This window comes from Homo sapiens, chromosome 2, assembly GCF_000001405.40.
Source record: "Homo sapiens chromosome 2, GRCh38.p14 Primary Assembly".
NCBI lineage: Eukaryota > Metazoa > Chordata > Mammalia > Primates > Hominidae > Homo > Homo sapiens.
The window spans coordinates 97222875-97246266 of NC_000002.12; the positions used below are offsets into that span (position 1 = coordinate 97222875).

At 35.9% G+C, this 23392-nt stretch overlaps 1 protein-coding gene across 50 annotated transcripts in view; it reads left to right on the plus strand.

Annotated features, from left to right (window-relative positions):
- ANKRD36 (ankyrin repeat domain 36) overlaps nt 1-23392 on the plus strand; it is a 151369-nt gene that overhangs the window by 109722 nt on the left and 18255 nt on the right. For 41 of the 50 annotated variants that reach the window (XR_007074204.1, XM_017004009.2, NM_001354587.1 and 38 more), the window contains 5 exons: nt 1932-2005; nt 10856-10997; nt 18392-18605; nt 20972-21155; nt 22283-23197. Coding sequence is in view for 49 of the 50 variants with exons in the window: in XM_017004009.2 (XP_016859498.1) it covers nt 1932-2005; nt 10856-10997; nt 18392-18605; nt 20972-21155; nt 22283-23197 (1529 nt within the window). In the remaining variant the exon portion in view is untranslated. The remainder of the gene's footprint in view (nt 1-1931; nt 2006-10855; nt 10998-18391; nt 18606-20971; nt 21156-22282; nt 23198-23392) is intronic. The other 9 variants (XM_017004010.2, XM_047444232.1, XM_047444235.1 and 6 more) reach the window with 1 other exon arrangement.

Below are 23392 nucleotides of genomic sequence, written 5' to 3' on the forward strand. Positions count from 1 at the left end.
TAAGATCACAGTTCCATGAAAGTGCCTTAGAGATTAGCATGGTATATCAAATCAAACTAATTTTAGAAACAAAAAGTTATAGCATTCATTCTTTGAATAACAAAACCAAAATAATCAGTGAACGTTGCACTGATTTTGAAGTATAAAATGTTATTAATAAGTCTGTGGAAATTTAATTTTTTCATTTTTGACAATTATTTACATATTGAAAGCTTATTATACACTTTTTTTTTTTTTTTTTTTTGAGACAGAGTCTTGCTCTGTCTCCCAGCCTGGAGTGTAATGGCACAATCTCGGCTCACTGCAACCTCCACCTCCCGGGTTAAAGCGATTCTCCTGCCTCAGCCCCCTGAGTAGCTGAGATTACAGGCACATGACACCATGCCCAGCTAATTTTTGTATTTTGAGTAGAGATGGGGTTTCACCATGTTAGTCAGGCTGGTCTTGACCTCCTGACCTTGTGATCCACTTGCTTCAGCCTCCCAAAGTGCTGTGATTACAGGCGTGAGCCACCACACCCAGCCTATACACTATTTTTGATGTGGTTTACATATCTTCTTGCATGAGTGGATTCAGAAAGTTCTTGACAGGGCCAAACTGCAGGATACAAGCAATGTAGACATAGCAGTAGCCTACCTAGGAATGAAAAAAATGAATAGTTTTATTAATTTTTATTCTACAACTGTCTATCTAAGCTGATTAATTTTAAACAGTTTCTCTGATGAGAAATAAATTGTATATTTATTGGAAGTGTCCTCACAATTTTGTACTTCCTAAATAATAGGAAAAACAGTTGGACATGATAAATGCTTGTAGTATAATGGTGTAATTGAATCTGAAGTATTGCATTAAAGATAGGCCATAGCATCCTCCCATCAGCTTTGATACTTACTCTCTCAGGATCATGATTTGCTATTCTTTATAAGGATCATTTTTCTCATTATCAGTCAACATGTTTACATTGGAATAGATACACTCTTCTATTTCAGTTATAGTTAGTTGAGACATAATCTCACTTTAGAAACCTTAACTACATATGTTATAAAACCTGTATTAAATAAAACCGTTTATCTGAGGAAAGATAGCCAGAATCAAGGAAGACTTCACATAGCTGTCTGAGTCTTAAATTATGAAAGAAATCTGTCAGAATAGTTGAGGAAAATATTTTAGATATAAAGAAGAGACTGTACATTGATGAAAGTGTAAACAGTAGCAGTCATTTTGGAAATGATTAATAATGAACAGCAGGCTCAAAGTGCTGTTCTAAAGGTACTATTGTGAAGTAAAGAACAGTGTGCTGTTACTTTTTCTGTTTCTATTGGATTTTTACATTTTGTTTTATTTCTGATGGTTTCGTTCATTGATGTTGGGTGGGTGAATTTGTGAGTGAATCTTTGACCACGTTTGCATGGCTTGAACCTGGTGACATCTAGTGCCTCCCCAAGTGGTTTGCTGAAGTTTTGGAGGATTAAAAGCCTTTCTTAAAGAAGTAAATATTATACTAAAGATTAAGCTTCGTTGAAACACTTTTATTTTCTGGTTTTAGAAAGACTATCGTTTTGTTTTTTTGTTTTTTTGTTTTTTTTTTTTTGAGACACAGTCTCGCTCTGCCACCCAGGCTGGAGGTGCAGTGGTGAGATCTTCAGCTCACTGCAAGCTCCACTTCCCGGGCTCACGCCATTCTCCTGCACCAGCCTCCCGACTAGCTGGGACTACAGGCGCCCGCCACCACGCCCAGCTAATTTTTTGTATTTTTTAGTAGAGACGAGGTTTCACCTTGTTAGCCAGGATGGTCTCGATCTCCTGACCTCGTGATCCACCTGCCTCGGCCTCCCAAAGTGCTGGGATTACAGGCGTGAGCCACCGCTGACCATGGCTTTTATCTAACTGTTCTGTGTAGCTCATTTTAACTAAATATATAATTTTTTTAGCAGAACAAGACTTAGAAATGGCATCAGAGGGAGAGCAAAAGAGGCTTGAAGAATATGAAAATAACCAGCCACAGGTATGTAAAAATTTAAAATCAAATTTCTGGTTTAATCTTGTTTTCCTAGCTTTGGTAATACAGCATATTTGAAATGAATTTACCTTTGGATTAGCCTTTTAGTATCAGTTGATTATAATTTAATATTTCATTTTAAAAACATTTAACTAGTTATAAAACTTAAAATAGTGTTGGAATCTATAGCAACTTGTATCTTATCTTTACTCTTGGAACTGAGTTAAAAAGTTCCTGATATTGTTTGCACTTCTATTTTTATAACTTCCTATTATAATAAAGAAGGTAACATCAAATATTGAATTACAATTTTAAGCAATAGAAATTATGAACAATTTAACAGTGATGACCACCGTACTGGATTCAGATTAAAGGAGTAATTATTGCTAGTGGTTCAAACTTTGCAGTTTTTTTATTGCCAGTCACTAATACCAAGGTTAAAAATTTATTTTCCTTTTTGATCTCTGACTTCAGTTTCTATGTTCAGGGAGAGAATGCGTTATAAAATCAACCCAACTGGCTATCAAGAGAATTATACCTTGCAGAATGGCACCTTTGGTATTAGTGTACAAACAATAACTGCCTAATGTATTTCAATATAGAAAATCTCTAAATATTGTTAAATTTATTAAATCCACTGTCATTAGTAGACCTTAGAACTTAAGCCTATAATCTATATAAATATATAACACTGTCAATCATATTACAATGTGTAATTTGCATTAAAATGTAAGAATTTGCTTTTCTTTTTTTATTTTATTATTATTATACTTTAAGTTTTAGGGAACACTTGCACAATGTGCAGGTTAGTTACATATGTATACACGTGCCATGCTGGTGTGCTGCACCCATTAACTCGTCATTTAGCATTAGGTATATCTCCTAATGCTATCCCTCCCCCCTCCCCCAACCCCACAACAGTCCCCAGAGTGTGATGTTCCCCTTCCTGTGTCCACCTGTTCTCATTGTTCAATTCCCACCTATGAGTGAGAACATGCAGTGTTTGGTTTTTTGTCCTTGCGATAGTTTACTGAGAATGATGATTTCCAATTTCATCCATGTCCCTACAAAGGACATGAACTCATCATTTTTTATGGCTGCATAGTATTCCATGGTGTCTATGTGCCATATTTTCTTAATCCAGACTATCATTGTTGGACATTTGGGTTGGTTCCAAGTCTTTGCTATTGTGAATAGTGCCGCAAAAACATATGTGTGCATGTGTCTTTATAGCAGCATGATTTATAGTCCTTTGGGTATATACCCAGTAATGGGATGGCAGGGTCAAATGGTATTTCTAGTTCTAGATCCCTGAGGAATCGCCACACTGACTTCCACAATGGTTGAACTAGTTTACAGTCCCACCAACAGTGTAAAAGTGTTCCTATTTCTCCACATCCTCTCCAGCACCTGTTGTTTCCAGATTTTTTAATGATTGCCATCCTAACTGGTGTGAGATGGTATCTCATTGTGGTTTTGATTTGCATTTCTCTGATGGCCAGTGATGGTGAGCATTTTTTCATGTGTTTTTTGGCTGCATAAATGTCTTCTTTTGAGAAGTGTCTGTTCATGTCCTTTGCCCACTTTTTGATGGGGTTGTTTGTTTTTTTCTTGTAAATTTGTTTGGGTTCATTGTAGATTCTGGATATTAGCCCTTTGTCAGATGAGTAGGTTGCGAAAATTTTCTCCCATGTTGTAGGTTGCCTGTTCACTCTGATGGTAGTTTCTTTTGCTGTGCAAAATCTCTTCAGTTTAATTAGATCCCATCTGTCAATTTTGGCTTTTGTTGCCATTGCTTTTGGTGTTTTAGACATGAAGTCCTTGCCCATGCCTATGTCCTGAATGGTAATGCCTAGGTTTTCTTCTAGGGTTTTTATGGTTTTAGGTCTAACGTTTAAGCCTTTAATCCATCTTGAATTAATTTTTGTATAAGGTGTAAGGAAGGGATCCAGTTGCAGCTTTCTACATATGGCTAGCCAGTTTTCCCAGCACCATTTATTAAATAGGGAATCCTTTCCCCGTTGCTTGTTTTTCTCAGGGTTGTCAAAGATCAGATAGTTGTAGATATGCGGCGTTATTTCTGATGGCTCTGTTCTGTTCCATTGGTCTATATCTCTGTTTTGGTACCAGTACCATGCTGTTTTGGTTACTGTAGCCTTGTAGTATAGTTTGAAGTCAGGTAGCGTGATGCCTCCAGCCTTGTTCTTTTGGCTAAGGATTGACTTAGTGATGCGGGCTCTTTTTTGGTTCCATATGAACTTTAAAGTAGTTTTTTCCAATTCAGTGAAGAAAGTCTTTGGGAGCTTGATGGTGATGGCATTGAATCTATAAATTACCTTGGGCAGTATGGCCATTTTAACCATACTGATTCTTCCTACCCATGAGCATGGAATGTTCTTCCATTTGTTTGTATCCTCTTTTATTTCCTTGAGCAGTGATTTGTAGTTCTCCTTGAAGAGGTCCTTCACATCGCTTGTAAGTTGGATTCCTAGGTATTTTATTCTCTTTGAAGCAATTGTGAATGGGAATTCACTCATGATTTGGCTCTCTGTTTGTCTGTTATTGGTGTATAAGAATGCTTATGATTTTTTACATTGATTTTGTATCCTGAGACTTTGCTGAAGTTGCTGATCAGCTTAAGGAGATTTTGGGCTGAGACAATGGGGTTTTCTAGATATACAATCATGTCGTCTGCAAACAGGGACAATTTGACTTCCTCTTTTCCTAATTGAATACCCTTTATTTCCTTCTCCTGCCTAATGGCCCTAACCAGAACTTCCAACACTATGTTGAATAGGAGTGGTGAGAGAGGGCATCCCTGTCTTGTGCCCTCTTGTGCCAGTTTTCAAAGGGAATGCTTCCAGTTTTTGCCCATTCAGTATGATATTGGCTGTGGGTTTGTCATAGATAGCTCTTATTATTTTGAAATACGTCCCATCAATACCTAATTTATTGAGAGTTTTTAGCATGAAGCGTTGTTGAATTTTGTCAAAGGCCTTTTCTGCATCTATTGAGATAATCATGTGGTTTTTGTCTTTGGTTCTGTTTATAAGCTGGATTACATTTATTTATTTGCGTATATTGAACCAGCCTTGCATCCCAGGGATGAAGCCCACTTGATCATGGTGGATAAGCTTTTTGATGTGCTGCTGGATTTGGTTTGCCCATATTTTATCGAGGATTTTTGCATCAATGTTCATTAAGGATACTGGTCTAAAATTCTCTTTTTTGGTTGTGTCTCTGCCCGGCTTTGGTATCAGGATGATGCTGGCCTCATAAAATGAGTTAGGGAGGGTTCCCTCTTTTTCTATTGATTGGAATAGTTTCAGAAGGAAGGGTACCACTTCCTCCTTGTACCTCTGGTAGAATTCGGCTGTGAATCCATCTGGTCCTGGACTCTTTTTGGTTGGTAAGCTATTGATTATTGCCACAATTTCAGATCCTGTTATTGGTCTATTCAGAGATTCAACTTCTTCCTGGTTTAGTCTTGGGAGTGTGTATGTGTCCAGGAATTTATGCATTTCTTCTAGATTTTCTAGTTTATTTGTGTAGAGGTGTTTGTAGTATTCTCTGATGGTAGTTTGTATTTCTGTGGGATCGGTGGTGATATCCCCTTTATCATTTTGTATTGCATCTATTTGATTCTTCTCTCTTTTCTTCTTTTTTAGTCTTGCTAGCTGTCTATCAATTTTGTTGATCCTTTCAAAAAACCGGCTCCTGGATTCATTAATTTTTTGAAGGGTTTTTTGTGTCTCTATTTCCTTCAGTTCTGTTCTGATTTTAGTTATTTCTTGCCTTCTGCTAGCTTTTGAATGTGTTTGCTCTTGCTTTTCTAGTTCTTTTAATTGTGATGTTAGGGTGTCAATTTTGGATCTTTCCTGCTTTCTCTTGTGGGCATTTAGTGCTATAAATTTCCCTCTACACACTGCTTTGAATGTGTCCCAGAGATTCTGGTATGTTGTGTCTTTGTTCTCATTGGTTTCAAAGAACATCTTTATTTCTGCCTTCATTTTGTTATGTACCCAGTAGTCATTCAGGAGCAGGTTGTTCAGTTTCCATGTAGTTGAGCGGTTTTGAGTGAGTTTCTTAATCCTGAGTTCTAGTTTGATTGCACTGTGGTCTGACAGACACTTTGTTATACTTTCTCTTCTTTTACATTTGCTGAGGAGAGCTTTACTTCCAAGTATGTGGTCAATTTTGGAATAGGTGTGGTGTGGTGCTGAAAAAAATGTATATTCTGTTGATTTGGGGTGGAGAGTTCTGTAGATGTCTATTAGGTCCACTTGGTGCAGAGCTGAGTTCAATTCCTGGGTCTCCTTATTAACTTTCTGTCTCATTGATCTGTCCAATGTTGACAGTGGGATGTTAAAGTCTCCCATTATTATTGTGTGGGAGTCTAAGTCTCTTTGTAGGTCACTCAGGACTTGCTTTATGAATCTGGGTGCTCCTGTATTGGGTGCATATATATTTAGGATAGTTAGCTCTTCTTGTTGAATTGATCTCTTTACCATTATGTAATGGCCTTCTTTGTCTCTTTCGATCTTTGTTGGTTTAAAGTCTGTTTTATCAGAGACTAGGATTGCAACCCCTGCCTTTTTTTGTTTTCCATTTGCTTGGTAGATCTTCCTCCATCCTTTTATTTTGAGTCTATGTGTGTCTCTGCACGTGAGATGGGTTTCCTGAATACAGCACACTGATGGATCTTGACTCTTTATCCAATTTGCCAGTCTGTGTCTTTTAATTGGAGCATTTAGTCCATTTACATTTAAAGTTAATATTGTTATGTCTGAAATTGATCCTGGCATTATGATGTTAGCTAGTTATTTTGCTAATTAGTTAATGCAGTTTCTTCCTAGTCTCGATGGTCTTTATATTTTGGCATGATTTTGCAGTGGCTGGTACCGGTTGTTCCTTTCCATGTTTAGTGCTTCCTTCAGGAGCTCTTTTAGGGCAAGCCTGGTGGTGACAAAATCTCTCATCATTTGCTTGTCTGTGAAGTATTTTATTTCTCCTTCACTTATGAAGCTTAGTTTGGCAGGATATGAAATTCTGGGTTGAAAATTCTTTTCTTTAAGAATGTTGAATATTGGCCCCCACTCTCTTCCGGCTTGTAGAGTTTCTGCCGAGAGATCCACTGTTAGTCTGATGGGCTTCCCTTTGTGGGCAACCTGACCTTTCTCTCTGGCTGCCCTTAACATTTTTTCCTTCATTTCAACTTTGGTGAATCTGACAATTATGTGTCTTGGAGTTGCTCTTCTCAAGGGGTATCTTTGTGGCGTTGTCTGTATTTCTTGAATCTGAATGTTGGCCTGCCTTGCTAGATTGGGGATGTTCTCCTGGATAATATCCTGCAGTGTGTTTTCCACCTTGGTTCCATTCTCCCCGTGACTTTCAGGTACACCAATCAGATGTAGATTTGGTCTTTTCACTTAGTCCCATATTTCTTGGAGGCTTTGTTTGTTTCTTTTCATTCTTTTTTCTCTCAACTTCCCTTCTCGTTTCATTTCATTCATTTCATCTTCCATCACTGATACCCTTTCTTCCAGTTGATTGCATCGGCTCCTGAGGCTTCTGCACTCTTCACGTAGTTCTCGAGCCTCGGCTTTCAGCTTCATCAGCTCCTTTAAGCACTTCTCTGTATTGGTTATTCTAGGTATACATTCGTCTAAATTTTTTTTCAAAGTTTTTAACTTCTTTGCCTTTGGTTTGAATTTCCTCCTGTAGCTCAGAGTAGTTTGATCGTCTGAAGCCTTCTTCTCTCAACTCGTCAAAGTCATTCTCTGTCCAGCTTTGTTCTGTTGCTGGTGAGGAACTGCATTCCTTTGGAAGAGGAGAGGCGCTCTGCTTTTTAGAGTTTCCAGTTTTTCTGCTCTGTTTTTTCCCCATCTTTGAGGTTTTATCTACTTTTGGTCTTTGATGATGGTGATGTACAGATGGGTTTTTGATGTGGATGTCCTTTCTGTTTGTTAGTTTTCCTTCTACCAGACAGGACCCTCAGCTGCAGGTCTGTTGGAGTTTGCTAGAGGTCCACTCCAGACCCTGTCTGCCTGGGTATCAGCAGTGGTGGCTGCAGAACAGCAGATTTTCATGAACCGCGAATGCTGCTGTGTGATCGTTCCTCTGGGAGTTTTGTCTCAGAGGAGTACCCGGCTGTGTGAGGTGTCAGTCTGCCCCTACCTGGGGGTGCCTCCCAGTTAGGCTGCTCGGGGGTCAGTGGTCAGGGTCTCACTTGAGGAGGCAGTCTGCCCATTCTCAGATCTCCAGCTGCATGCTGGGAGAACCACTGCTGTCTTCAAAGCTATCATACAGGGACATTTAAGTCTGCAGAGGTTACTGCTGTCTTTTTGTTTCTCTGTGCCCTGCCCCCAGAGGTGGAGCCTACAGAGGCAGGCAGGCCTCCTTGAGCTGTGGTGGGCTCCACCCAGTTCAAGCTGCTTTGTTTACCTAAGCAAGCCTGGGCAATGGCAGGTGCCCCTCCCCCAGCCTCACTGCCGCCTTGCAGTTTGATCTCAGACTGCTGTGCTAGCAATCAGTTAGACTCCATGGGCGCAGGACCCTCTGAGCCAGGTGCAGGATATAATTTCCTGGTGTGCCGTTTTTTAAGCCCGTCGGAAAAGTGCAGTAGTAGGGTGGGAGTAACCCAATTTTCCAGGTGCTGTCTGTCACCCCTTTCTTTGACTAGGAAAGGGAACTCCCTGACCCCTTCCACTTCCTGAGTGAGGCAATGCCTCACCCTCCTTTGGGTCACACACGGTGCACTGCACCCACTGTCCAGCACCCACTGTCTGGCACTCTTTAGTGAGATGAACCTGGTACCTCAGATGGAAATGCAGAAACCACCCATCTTCTGCGTCGCTCACGCTGGGAGCTGTAGACTGGAGCTGTTCCTATTCAGCAGTCTTGGCTGCCAGACAAAGAATTTGCTTTTCTTACTGACTGGTGGTGATTTTGGCTCCTAATAATTTAAAGTTTGCCTAATCATTAGTTAGTAATATTAGGAAAAAGCACTCAAGTGTACACTGTTCATATAGTGATAAAATCTTTTAAAGTGACAGTGCCTTTATAGTACCACAAGTCATCTCCTAATTCATTTTTGGGAAATTTAACACATAATGAATTATTCAAGTTTAGTCCAAACAAACAGTGACAAATTAAAGTTTCATGGTTTATGTTTTTCACTGATTTTAGGCTAATGCAAATTATTTTTCACTTCTTAGTTACAATCCAGTGATTTGGGAGTAGGTAAACATAGATTAAGAAGTTTGATATTAAACTTTAATTATTTTAAAATTTTTCTCTTTTTACACTTGATTATTTAAAGATAAAGTTATTTTTAAAACATGTACTCTGACAGAAAAGACATCTAAGAAAGAAAACTAGCAAATTTATCTTCCACTTTTGCATGTGCAAAAATTGTCTCAACAACTAGTAGTGAAAAAGTGTTGTGATAGAAAGGACCTCTTTATATATGCAGGACTTACTTGTGCACAAAAGTATGAGAGAATGTGGATGAAACAAGACAAACTAGGGTAAAAAAAACCTTTAAAATTCATCACAAATAAGTTAAAGCAGAGTTTTGGTGAAATTTGTGAAAATTACAAAACTGCTTGTATTGAGGAAGAGCAACTACATAATAACTCTACAGGAAGAACAAACTTAAGTAAAAACCTTCTAATTTGACAAATGATTCACCTGATTGTCAGGAAAGTGATGCATCTGGCATGTCTGTCTCTGTAGTAGTCCAGATATTTCCTGAACAAAAATAACCCAGTCTCAAAAATGCCTTTCTTTCTCATTCATACTCTGGGTCCCCAGAATATGCTTGCCAGTCACCTTCAGAGCTTTATTTAAATACAAATAAAGTAGACTGTGAAAACGACAACAAACCAGATACTGAACATGTTTTTAACTCAGACAAGGAAAATTTTTATAATGATACTGAAAGTACAAAAGCAAGAAACCCAGAAGTAGTTATGGATGAAATAAAAGAAGACAAATAGGTTGTGAGGCAAATGACAAAAAAACAAAACACCGCTAATTGGAAATTAAACATCGGACATATGCCTCAATTTAGTGATTCAAAAAGCCTTTTAGGTATGTGGCTTACCTGCTCCAAAGAAATGAAGCATGTGATTTAAAAAAAAAAAAAAAGATGATGGTGTTTCTGTTGTTACAAACAGTACAAAACCAATACAGAATGTGTTCCAGAAGCCGTTATGTGACAACTGTAGTGCAAATAAATATGAAAGCATAAAACTTGAATTAGAAAATGTGCATTATTCTCCACCACATGGTGACAGAACATCAGCAGTATGTCTAGAAGTGGAATTAAGTGATATATGCAAAGATTTAAGAATGAGGTAAGCATATTACAAGTAAAGTAGAGTTCCTGGCTTTGGAGAAAGTTCAACTTCCAAAAGACTTAGAGGGTCACTTGCTGCTACTCTGGTTTTTCTCTTCACCAATTATTTGATCCATTTGAATTTTTTTACTTATGAAAATCTCTTGTGTAAAATGGGGTAATCTAAATACCTAATTGTATGTATAAATAGATTGTTTTTGCAATTAAAATAACTCAAGCTCAGGAAGACATTCTCTTAATCTTTGTTCCTTAATTAACCCAAGTCTCTCTGTCAGTTTTCTAAATAGCACAGGAACTGGGAAACTAATTTATCCATAGACCATGTGGTCTTCTGAACTAGAGTCAACATAAAGGAAATTGCTTAAAAAAAAAGTACGGAACAGGTACCTGTGTTTGTGCTCATAGAAACAGATGGGCAATTCCCACTTCTGTACATTTTGTATATGCTATAAATATTTTGGGGACATTTTGAAACAGTGTTATTTATTTTGTAGGTGAAAAACCAAATACATTCTAGGGATGACCTTGATGACATAATTCAGTCATCTCAAACAGTCTCAGAGGACGGTGACTCGCTTTGCTGTAATTGTAAGAATGTCATATTACTCATTGATCAACATGAAATGAAGTGTAAAGGTAGGACCAATGCATAAATATAAGGCTTTTTAAAAATCCTATAGCAATGTATGCACACATTGCTTAACACTGTACCATAGAGTACTGATATGTTACAAGAATGTTCATCTCAGAAATATGCCTTATGTTAAAATAGAATGAAAGCAACTGTATCTTGTACCTTCTCAGCCAAAGAGCTATGATCATTTCACTGTACTTTTCTCAGTGTGAATGATACACACAGTGTGTTTGTTTACTCTGCTTCTCTTCTATGCCATTACCCATTTACCCATGGTCATGTTACCATTTCCTCCCACCTGAAATACTGTGATAACCCTCTAACTGTCTTTCCTACTATTCCACCTTCCAAAACCATGGCCTGTTCTGCAATCATAATTATATAGTTGTAAAAAATCACACCTGATCATGTTACCTGCTTGCTGAAAACCCAGCTGCCATTTATTGCTATAAGATATGGATCTCAGTCCTCGAGCTTTATACTGCATCATTGCATACCCTTCTCTGTGCCACAGCCAGTGCCTTAGGTGTTTGCTCCTACAATCAGTAGCTTTAGTGTGGTAAAATTGATATGCGATACAGTGCACACATGTAAAAGGTACCATTTGATAAGTTTTAACAGATGTATACACATGTGAAACTATTACCATCATCGAGATAGTCAACATATATCCATCACCCACTAACGTCTCCTCATGGCCCTTCATATTCCTGTTTTTAAAAGCTGCTAAATGGTTTTCCAAAATATTTGTACTATTTTCTATTCTCATCAGCAGTAAATGACCATTCCAGTTGCTATGTTGTCACACTACTGCTGTATTTATTTTTTTAAATTTTAGTTATTCTGATGGGTGTATTATGTATATTCTTATGGGTTTAATGTACATGATCCTAATGACTAAAATGTTGAGCATCTTTCCATGTGTTTATTTGCCATCTGTACATCTTCTTTGTTGAACTGTCTTTTCACATCTTTTGCATATAAAAAAGTAGGTTGATGTTTTCTTACGTGTTGAATTTTAATAATTCTGTATGTATTTGGATACTATTACTTTTAGCTACTTTTTTACAAGGGTATTTTTGCCAGTTTTTGGGTTGACTTTTCACTTGCTTTGTAGTATCTTTTGAAGAGCAGAAGATTTTAATCATAATGAAATCCAATTTAATTGTTGAATTACAGATTTTGCATTTTGTGTCATATGTAAAAATGTTTGCCTAGCACAAGGTCACAAAGATTGTTCCTGTGTTTGTTCTAGAAATTTTATAGATTTGGATCTTCCATTTAAATCTGTGCTCCATCTTGAGTTTCCTTTTGTCTATGGAGTGAGGTGAGGTATGGATTCAAGTTCACTTTTTGGATATGGACAGCCAATTGTTCCAACACCGCATGTTGAAAAGGCTATCCTTTCTCCACTGCATTGCCATCCTGCCTTTGTCAGTCATAAGCTGGTTGCTTATGTGTTATCTATTTCTGGACTGTCTGTTGAATTTTATTAATTTGCAGATGCTCCCCAAATTGTGGGAAACCCAGTGTTTGAGTCAAAAGCAAGTTAATACTTCAGTAAACCCACTGTAAAGTCAGTAAGTCAAACCACCTTAAGTTGGGGATTGTCTGAATTTGACTTTCTTTATACAGGTTGAGCATTGCTAATTTAAATATCCCAAATCTGAAATGCTCTAAAACCCCAGACTTTTTGATTGCCAACATAGACAGCACAGTGGAAAAATTCTACATCCGACCTCATGTATACAAACATTGTTTCATGCCCCAAATTATTAAAAGTATTATTTAAAATTACCTTCAGTCTTTGTGTACAAGGTAAATATGAAAAACAAATGTATTTTGTGTTTAGACTTGGGTCCTATCCCCAAGATATTTCATCATGTATATGCAAATATTCCAAAATCCAAAATCTGAAAAACTTCTAGTCTGAAGCATTTTGAATAAGGGATATTCAGCCTGTACCTGTGGCACACTGTTTTTGTTACTATTGATTTATAGTAATTCTTGAAATGAATCCTCCAATTTTGTTCTTTGTTCTGTTTTGACTATGCTAGATCCTTTGCATTTTCACATGAACTTTAGAATCAGCTTATCAATAAAATAAAGACTGCTCGCTTGTTGGAAATTAAGTTGGGATTGGGTCATATTTATAGATTAATTTGGGGAGAATTGACATCTTAACAATAGCGAATCTACTCCTCAATAAAGTGTATGTCTGCTTTTATAGAGGTAATATTTAATTTTCTCAGTAGTATTTTGTAGTTTTTAGTTTATAGGTCTTTTCATATTTTATCAGATTTATCTGTATTTCATTTTTGATGAAGTTGTAAATGATAGTTTAATTAGTGTAGATGTATTTGACTTTCTTTATACAGGTTGAGCATTGCTAATCCAAATATACACTTTTATAAAACTATAGAAAATGATAGTTTTAAAATTTTCATTTGATTGTTTATCGCTAGCATATAGAAATACAGTTAATTTTTCTGTATTGAATTTGTATCCTTCATTCTTGTTAAACTCACTTATTAGTTCTGGCACATTGTTGGTAGATTTGATCAGATTTTCTTCATAGACCAAAGGTTGTTAAACCTTTCTTTCTCAAACTACCCTCTTACTAAGGATAGTGAATATTTTAGGCTTGTGGCAAAAGGGTCTCTTTTGCAGCTGATAAACTCTGCCATTTTAGTATGAGAGCAGCCATAGATCATCCATAAATTAATGAACACAGCTGTGTTCCAATAAAAGCTTATCGGACAAGAAGCTGGCCCACAGGTTGGGGTTTACCCATACCTATTTTATGGTCATGGTTGTGTATAAAGACAATTTTATTTCTTTTTTTTAAACTTGGATGCCTCTTATTTCTTTTTCTTGCCTGACTGCATTAACTAGAATCTTCAGAACAATGCTACAAACAAGTAGTGAAAGCAGACATTCCCATGTTCTTCCTCATCTTATGGGAAATGCATTCAGTTTTTCACTATGATGCACGTTAGCTGTAGGTTCATCATAGACGTTGTTTATCATGCTGAAGAACTTCCCTTGGATTCTTATGTTACTGAGAGTGTTTCTTCTTTGAGACATCAGGAGTAAATTTTATCAGATGCCTGTGTCTGTTGGGATGATCCTATGGGTCTTCTCTTTCAGTTTGTTTTGTGGTAAATAATGATGATGTTTCAATGTTAAGCCAACCTTCCATTTCTGGAATAAACCCCATTTGTTTATGATGTATTACCTTTTCATTATACTGTCGGATACAGTTTACTAAAGTCTCATTTAGAATTTATTATAAAGACTTTTATTTTTTAGACCAGTTTTATGTTCCTGTCAAAATTGAGAGGGAGGTTCAGATATTTTTTTGTATACCCCCAATCCAATACATGTTTAGCCTCCTTCATTACCAGTATCCTTCACCATAGTGGTAGTTGCTATGATAGATGAGCCTAAATTGACACATCACAATCACCCCAAGCCCATAATTTGCATTGGGGTTCACTCTTGGTACTTTACATGTATGGATTTGGACAAATGTACAATGATGTGTATCCATGTTATATAAATTATTTTGACTTCCCTAAAAATCCTCTGTGCTCTGCCTATGTATCTTTTCCTGCTGTCTCTTACCCTTAGGCACCCTTTTACTTTATCCATAGTTTTGCCTCTTCCTGATCATATAGTTGGAACCATACAGTAAGTAGCCTTTTCAGATGAGCTTATGTCACTTGGTAATATGCATTTAAGGTTCCTTCACATATTTTCATGAATTGATTGCTCATTTCTTTATGTGTAGAGTGATATTCCACTGTATGGCTGTGTAACCACAGTTTATTCACTCCACTATGGGAGGATGTCTTCGTTGCATCACAAATTGGTTGAATTTTTACATTCGTGCTCATGAGGGAATTTTCTTGTTGGTAATATTTTCTGGTTTTGGTTCAGGGTAAAGCTAACATTACAGACTGAGTTGAGATATACTCCTTCTTTCTGTTTCTTTTGGGAGAGTTTATGTATAATTGTATTAATTTCTTCCAGAAATGTTTTGTAGAATCACCAGCATAGCCAGCTGGGTCTGGAGTTTTCTTTTAGGAAGGTTTTTAACTATAACTTAACTTTCTTCTATAGATATAGGGCAATTCACGTTATCTATTGCTTCTTGATTGAGATTTGCTAATTTTCATTTTTAAAGGAATTTGTTAATTTTATCTAAGTTGTCCTGTTTACTTACATAGAAATTATAATATCTTGTTATATTTTTAGTATCTGTAGAATCTATAATTATGTCACATTGTTTATTTCTGAAATTAGTAATTTGTATTGTTTCTTTTATTCTGAGCAGCCTGGCTAAATGGAGCTTTATCACATTTATTGATCTCCTCAAGGTGTTTTGTGTTGTTGATTTTTTTCTATTGTTTCTTCTGGAACCAACAGTATAACAAAATACCATAGACTGGTTCAAACAACAGAAGTTGATTTCTCGCAGTTGTGGGTTCAGCAAAGTCCAAGATCCAGATGCTGTCATGTTTGGTGTATGGTTAGGGAACACGTCCTAGTTCATGAATGCTTTTTCTCTGTGCCCTCACTTGGCAGAAGGGGTGAAGGAGATCTGGGGTCTGTTGTATAGAGCACTAAGCACTAATCCCATTCATTAGGGCTTCGCTCTCATGACCAACTACCTGTAAAAATCCCCCCTCCTAATACCGTCACATCTGTGATTGGCTTTCAGCATATAAATTTTGGGGAAGACAAACATTCAGACCACAGCAGATGTTTATTATTTCCTTTCCTCTGCTTGCTTTGGGTTTATGTCACTCTTCTTTTATCTAGTTGCTTAAGGTAGAAGTCAAAGTCATTGATTTAAGACTCTTCTAATGTAGACATTCAGCAGTGCTAAAAATTTGTATTCAAGTACAGCTGTAGCTGCATTCCACAAATTCTGGTTGATGAATTTTTATTCAGTTCAGAATATTTTCTATTTTCTATTTCTATTTTCATTACCTGTTTGACCCAGGGTTATTTAGATGTGTGTTACTTAGTTTCCAAATATTTGTGTATTTCCCAGAGTTATTTTTGTTATCGGTCTTTAATCTGATTGATTTGTGGTCAGGGCACATACTTTGTATGAGTTAAATCCTTCTGACTCAATCCTTTAATTGAGAGTTGTTGTATGGCCTAAAATATGGTCTATTTTGGTAAGTGTTCCGTGGGTACTTGGAAAGCATAGTGTTGTTCAAGTCTATTCTCGCTGATTTTCTGCCTTCTTGTTCTATCACTTATTGAGTAAAGGGTATTGAAACCTCAGATTACCTAGAAATTGTCTGTCACTTTTTGTAGTTCTATCCACTTTGGTCTCATATATTGTGAGGCTGGTTTGTTATTAGGGGCATAAAGACTGAGGATTGTTATGTTTTGTTGATTAACTGAACCTTTTACTATTGTGACATGACCTTTGTTATTTATTGCTGGAATGTTTTTTTTTTTTTGCTATGAAATCTACTTTGGTATTAATACAGCCACACCTGCTCAGCTGCCTTTGCCAACTGTTAGCATGTATCTTTTTCCATCCTTACAACCAATTTGTGTCTTTACATTTAAAGTGCATTTCTTATAGGCAGCCTGTAGTTGGGTCTTGCTTTCTTGCTGAGCCTGACAGTCTGTATTATAGTTGAGGTTCTTAGACAAGTGTCATTTGTAATGTGATTACTGATATAGTTATGTTTGTCTGGTAGCTGTGTGATTGCTATTAGTCCCAACTGTTCTCTGTTCCCCTTCTTTTCCTGCTTTCCTTTAGATTAGTCAACTGTTTTTTATGATTCAATTTTATATATATTTTTGGGTTTATTAGCGATAACTGTTTTGCTATCTTAGTGTTTAGGATTTTTAGTATATAATTTTAACTTATCACAGTTCACCTTCAGTAATATTATACATCCTAGATGGTATAAAAAATGACAATGATACATTTTCATTTTTTTCTGTCCCAGACACTTCCTTCCTGAATCTGTGGGATTATGGTTTGTGTTAAGGTTAGAATATTTTTGGTCATTTTTTCTTTAATTTTTTTTCTGTCTCTTCTTTTTTATTTGAGGAGTTATCTATTAGCTGCTTGAAAGTTTCTTGCAGTTTATCGTGTCAAATTTAGGAATTTTTCCTTTGTTATCTCTAATTTGTGTTTATTTCCATCCACTATAGTTTTTACTTATGACAATGTAATTTGTGTCTCTACAAGTATGGTTTGTGTTTTTTTAAAAAAAAACCTTCCCTGCCTCCACTTATTATCTTGAGTTTTATTTGGAGTACAGAGATTTACTTATAATCTTTCCATTCTTGCTTTTAGATTTGGGGTAATTCCTCACTCCTGAGGCAAGACCTTTCGGAGTATTCATTGTCCTGTGAAGTATGCGGTATTTTGGCCTGGCTCATGGGAATGGACCCTCTTCCAGTCATTGTGTGAACCCCAGACATCGTTTCTGCTAATTTTCTTTAACTGTTGTTTTTTTTTATTTTATTTTTCATTGTTCTTAGGAAGTTTCCTAGTACACAAGCACTTTTCATTACTCCACTAAATACCCAAGAGGGAATCTCTGCACATCTCCAGGATTTGTTTCCTGTACTGCTTTTTTCTCTCCAGTTTTCTGTCCTGTGATCTCTATCTGCTTTGGTTTTACTGGCCTCTCAGCGTCATCACCCCAGCTCTATGTCAGATTTTCTCCCTTTGTGATGGCCTCGAACCTCCGTCAAAACTCTGTCAAAAGAGCTGGGATATTTGTAAGGCCTGCTGTATTTGTTTTCTGTCTTTCAGTGATCACCTACCATCTTCATTGCCTGAAGTCCACTGTGTTGAAAATCAGTTTAATGTATTGTGTCTGTTTTGTTTTTTATTCATTCAGATAAGATGAAAAATCAGTATCTGTTACTCCATCAGAGCTAGTAACAGATTGCAGCAGAGCTTCAGCACAGCACATGCTGCAAACTAGCCAGAGTGCTTTGCTTTCTTCTTTGCTTAACTGCTTCTTTCTCATCCTTCATTTCTCAGTGTAGCATCTCTTCCTCAGGGAAATCTTCCCTGGGTGAAGTATAGATCAAATTATCTTATGCAATCACATAACTATGTTTTTTTTTTTTTTTTTTTTTTTTTTTTTTTTTTTTACAGGACCTATCTGAGTTTATAACTGTCACCTTTTTATCTTGGTTCTTCACTATACTTTAAGCTAAAACAATAGCAGAGGTGTTGTCTTATCTGCAGACCTTACTATAATATCTTCCACCTTGTAGGCACTCAATATGTACATACTTGTTCAACGTATGAATGAATACATGTTAAAAATGCACAGTCCTTTATATCCAAAAATCTACTCATGTATTTTATCTCTACTTTGTTTTTTCCTGGTTACAGATTGTGTTCACCTATTGAAAATTAAAAATACATTTTGTTTATGGAAAAGATTAATAAAACTTAAAGATAACCACTGTGAGCAACTTAGAGTAAAAATTCGAAAACTGAAAAATAAGGCTAGTGTACTACAAAAGAGAATATCTGAAAAAGAAGAAATAAAATCGCAGTTAAAGCATGAAATACTTGAATTGGAAAAAGAACTCTGTAGTTTGAGGTATGACCTAGTTTTAAATAAATGTTTGAACTGTTTGTTTTATATTAAAGACGTATAAGGAGAAGTTTTGTAATTGCGAACTTTCCTTCTAGGATTTAACAGGGAAGAAAGCTTCTTAATCTTATGGAGTGTGAAATTATTGGATATAATATCACAAGTTCTTAATTGTGAATACTTCTCTAATAATTAAATGCATATTCTTTTAAATCATAGTTTTAATGGCTGTATAGAATTTTACCTTTTGGAAATCTCATTATTTAATTGATGAATTGAATTTCAGGTTTTAAAAAGTTTTTGTAATAATGCTACAAGGAACATCTTTTATATACACATAGTTTTCTACATTTCTAATTATTTACATTGGATAAATTCTTCTGGTTAAAGTATAGAAACTTTTTTAGATCTGTTTTAGATCTGTGATCAATATTTCTAAATTGTTCTTAAGGATGTTCATATTAATTTATAATTCAACCAACAGAGTATAAAACAGATATTTTTCTTTACCCAGAATAATTATTTTAAAAATTATCAGCCGGGTGCAGTGGCTCATGCCTGTAATCCCAGCACTTTGGTAGGCCGAGGTGGGCAGATCACGAGGTCAGGAGTTCGAGACCAGTCTGCCCAACACAGTGAAATGCTATCTCTACTAAAAATACAAAAAATTAGCCAGGTATGGTGGTTGTACCTGTAATCCCAGCTACGCAGGAGGCTGAGGCAGGAGAATCGCATGAAACTGGGAGGCAGAGGTTGCAGTGAGCAGAGATTGCACCAGTGCACTCCAGCCCAGTGATAGTAGGAGACTCCCTCTCAAAAAAAAAAAAAAAAATGTATCCAGTTTTATTCTTAATATGCAGGGAATGAAAAGTAAAATGTAAAGTGATTACTGATTAGCTTATTCAACATCTCTCTGCTATGTAGATAAAATTAATTCAGTTTTATGCTGAAGACATGTATTATTCTTTATTGTTTAATTAAATATTAGATCTTGTGTTGTTCCAAAACAGATTTTACAATTGGTTATAAAGTACATACTAATCAGCAGGATAGACTGAAAGTGTTACCCAAAAAACAATCTGAAAAAGTGTAGGGTAACATATTACCTTCTTAACCTAGTCTTGGATTACAGTAATCTGCTGATATATGTTTCATAAAGACATCGAAAATGCTATCTTGCAATGTAAATTATGTTTAGGGATACTTGCAATGAATGTTTCATGAAGATGAAAATGTATTTCTAGTGAATGTACCAACTTGTTTATAAAAAGTAACTTTATGTTAATTAACTCTAAATGATTCATCCTAATTGAGGAGTAATTACTGTGAAGAAAAGATAATTTTTATCTTGTAACTTTACTGAATAATTTTCAACGTCCTTTTTCATAATATTTGCTAGAGTTACTAGTAATAGAAACTTATGCAGGATGTTCTTTTATCAATACATTTCAACTTATACATGCCCTTTGGATGAGATTGAGGTGAGAAATTAAAAACATGAGAACTAGAAAGAAAAATAGTATTTAAGAACATAGAAACTTTATTAGGATAATAAACCAACATATGAATGTTTTATTTTCTAATATCAACAAAGAGAGTCAAACTCTGTAAGATATTTGAAGAGATTTATTCTGAGCCAAATATGAGTGACCGTGGCCCCCGACACAGCCCTCAGGAGGTCCTGAGAACATGTGCCCGAGGTGGTCGGGGTGCAGCTTGGTTTTATACATTTTAGAGAAGCATGAGACAGCAATCAAATACATGTAAGAAATACATTGGTTTGGTTCAGAAAGGCAGGCCAACTCAAAGCTGGGGCTTCCAGGCTGTAGGTAAATTTAAACATTTTCTGGTTGACAATTGCTTGAGTTTATTTGAAGACCTGGGATTAATGGAAAGAAATGTTCAGGTTAAGATAAATGATTGTGGGGACCAAGTTTTACTGTGCAGAGGAATCTCTCAGCAGACTTCAGAGAGAGCAGATTGTAAAATGTTTCTTATCGGACCCAAAAGGGTGCCTGGCTCTCAGCTGAATATCCCCTGGATCTGCATAGAAAGGAAGGAAAACAAAGGGGAAAGGGGGTTCTCTATAGAATGTGGATTTTTCCCACAAGAGACTTTGCAGGGCAATTTCAAGGCATGGCAAGGAAATATATTTTGGATTAAATATTTTCTTCCTTGTCTCGTAAGGTTATGCCAGAGTCAGATTGAAAAGCAAGTCACAATATACAGGGTCAAATAAAACCCATCTGATGAGAATCCATGGTTTGTAGGGCACGACTCCCTGGACCCCTTAGGTAGGAATTTGGGCAAGATAAAAAATTAGAGCTTAGTCCTCACTGATAAGATAAATTCTAAGATAAGTATATTTACAGATTTGCCATACAGCAAGAAAAAAAGAAAAGAAGAAATGTTGAAGAGGTGCACCAAAAAGTTAGGGAAAAGTTAAGAATAACAGAAGAGCAATATAGGATAGAAGCTGATGTGACAAAACCAATTAAACCGGCTCTCAAATCAGCAGAGGTGGAATTGAAGACAGGAGGAAATAATTCAAATCAGGTAAATTAATGTTTGGTAAAACTTCATATTTCTACTCTTATTAATATTACTTATACCATCTCTTTCATTTAACGTATATTATTTAGGCCTGAACAATCCCCAAATTTTATTTCATCTTAAAAATGAATCATGGCATTTATAGCTATAATTATTTATAATAAACCTTGAAATATTTTATTTTAGTTCAAAGGCCTTTTGAAAACAATGCTATTCTACAATATATACTTAATGATATTGTAAGTATTTTGTTCCTAGTGACATAGTTCAGCATATTTCCCCTATTTCATGTTAATTACATTTCAAATGTTATGGAAAAGGAATAAAAGTTATCACAATAGCAAATAATGTCATGATTTTCTAAGAAGAGTTTTATAGATCTAATTTTCTTGACTTTTGGTGTCTTGAAATAAAAGATTATTTTTGTATGTATATATCTACCTCACAGAAGTTACTGATTTGGTGGAAGAGCACTAGGAATAGAGTCAGAAAAGCTGGGAAAAATCCTGCAGCTTGCTTATATTTTTAACCTTTTGCTATAGAATTATAACTAAATGAGTTCATTGATTTGTGCACGTAAAAGTGCTTAGTATAATGCCTAGCTTTATCATTTATCAATAAATGTCATTCTTAAAACTGACCATAACAATATTAGAAAAGTAGAATATCTATACAATATTTTAGAAAAAGGGAACTTAAAGAATTTGGAAAATGTCATTCATCTGTCCAAATATCTGCCAAGCTAAGGCTCTCACTATAGGGAGAGGTATAGTTTAGATGTTAGAGTGTAAACCCAATTTTTTAATGTGGTCATAGTTATTAATTCTTTATGCCTTGCAATTTGTTGTAATTCAGTAAAAGCCTTTTTTTATCCTGAAATTTAAAAAAATTATCTAGTGGCTTCTTTTTTGCTTTCATGGATTCACTGTCTTCAAATAAACTTTTGAACTTTGGGGAATTTATGCTGTATGAGGTTTGAGGTTTTGACTTAACTTCTTTTTTCCCAGTTAGATATCCAGTTATGGCAACCTCTCATTGTATAAATGTACAGGTTATTATTTAATTTCAGAAGCAATCACAATATGTTATCCTATTGGATACTAGTTACAAGTTTGCTTTGTTTTACTTAGGTTTCTGAAACTGATGAAAAAGAAGACCTGCTGCATGAAAACCGCTTGATGCAAGATGAAATTGCCAGGCTCAGGCTGGAAAAAGACACAATAAAAAACCAAAACCTGGAAAAGAAATACTTAAAAGACTTTGAAATTGTGAAAAGAAAGCATGAAGACCTTCAAAAGGCTCTAAAACGGAATGGGGAAACATTAGCAAAAACGATAGCCTGTTATAGTGGACAGCTTGCTGCTCTGACAGATGAAAACACAACGCTCCGTTCCAAACTGGAGAAGCAAAGAGAGAGCAGGCAAAGACTGGAAACAGAAATGCAATCATACCATTGTAGACTGAATGCTGCTCGATGTGATCATGATCAAAGTCACTCATCAAAAAGAGACCAAGAGCTTGCTTTCCAGGGCACAGTAGATAAATGTCGTCACTTACAGGAAAATTTGAATTCTCATGTTCTGATTCTTTCTCTGCAACTTTCTAAAGCTGAGAGTAAGTCCAGAGTCCTCAAAACTGAGCTCCATTACACAGGAGAGGCTCTGAAAGAAAAGGCTTTGGTTTTTGAACACGTGCAAAGTGAGCTAAAGCAAAAACAGAGTCAAATGAAGGACATTGAAAAAATGTACAAAAGTGGATACAATACAATGGAAAAATGCATAGAAAAACAGGAAAGATTTTGTCAACTAAAAAAACAAAATATGTTGCTTCAACAGCAACTGGATGATGCTCGCAACAAAGCTGACAATCAAGAAAAAGCAATACTTAATATTCAAGCCAGATGTGATGCTAGAGTACAAAACCTTCAAGCTGAGTGCAGAAAGCACCGTCTTTTACTAGAAGAAGACAATAAAATGTTGGTCAATGAACTGAATCATTCGAAAGAAAAAGAATGCCAATATGAAAAAGAGAAAGCAGAAAGAGAAGTAAGTATCAAGAAAAATAAGTATTTTTCAAACTTCCTGAAGTAAAATTTAAAGTAATATTTGGTTACAGCTGAATGTTGGATCTAGTTGAATATAAAAAAGGATACATATGATAAATATATCTGCTTAGAAACATTCCTTGTCTCCAGCAAGTCAAAGTTAGAACTGAGAGATGCTTTCCTCTGATTAAAGTCA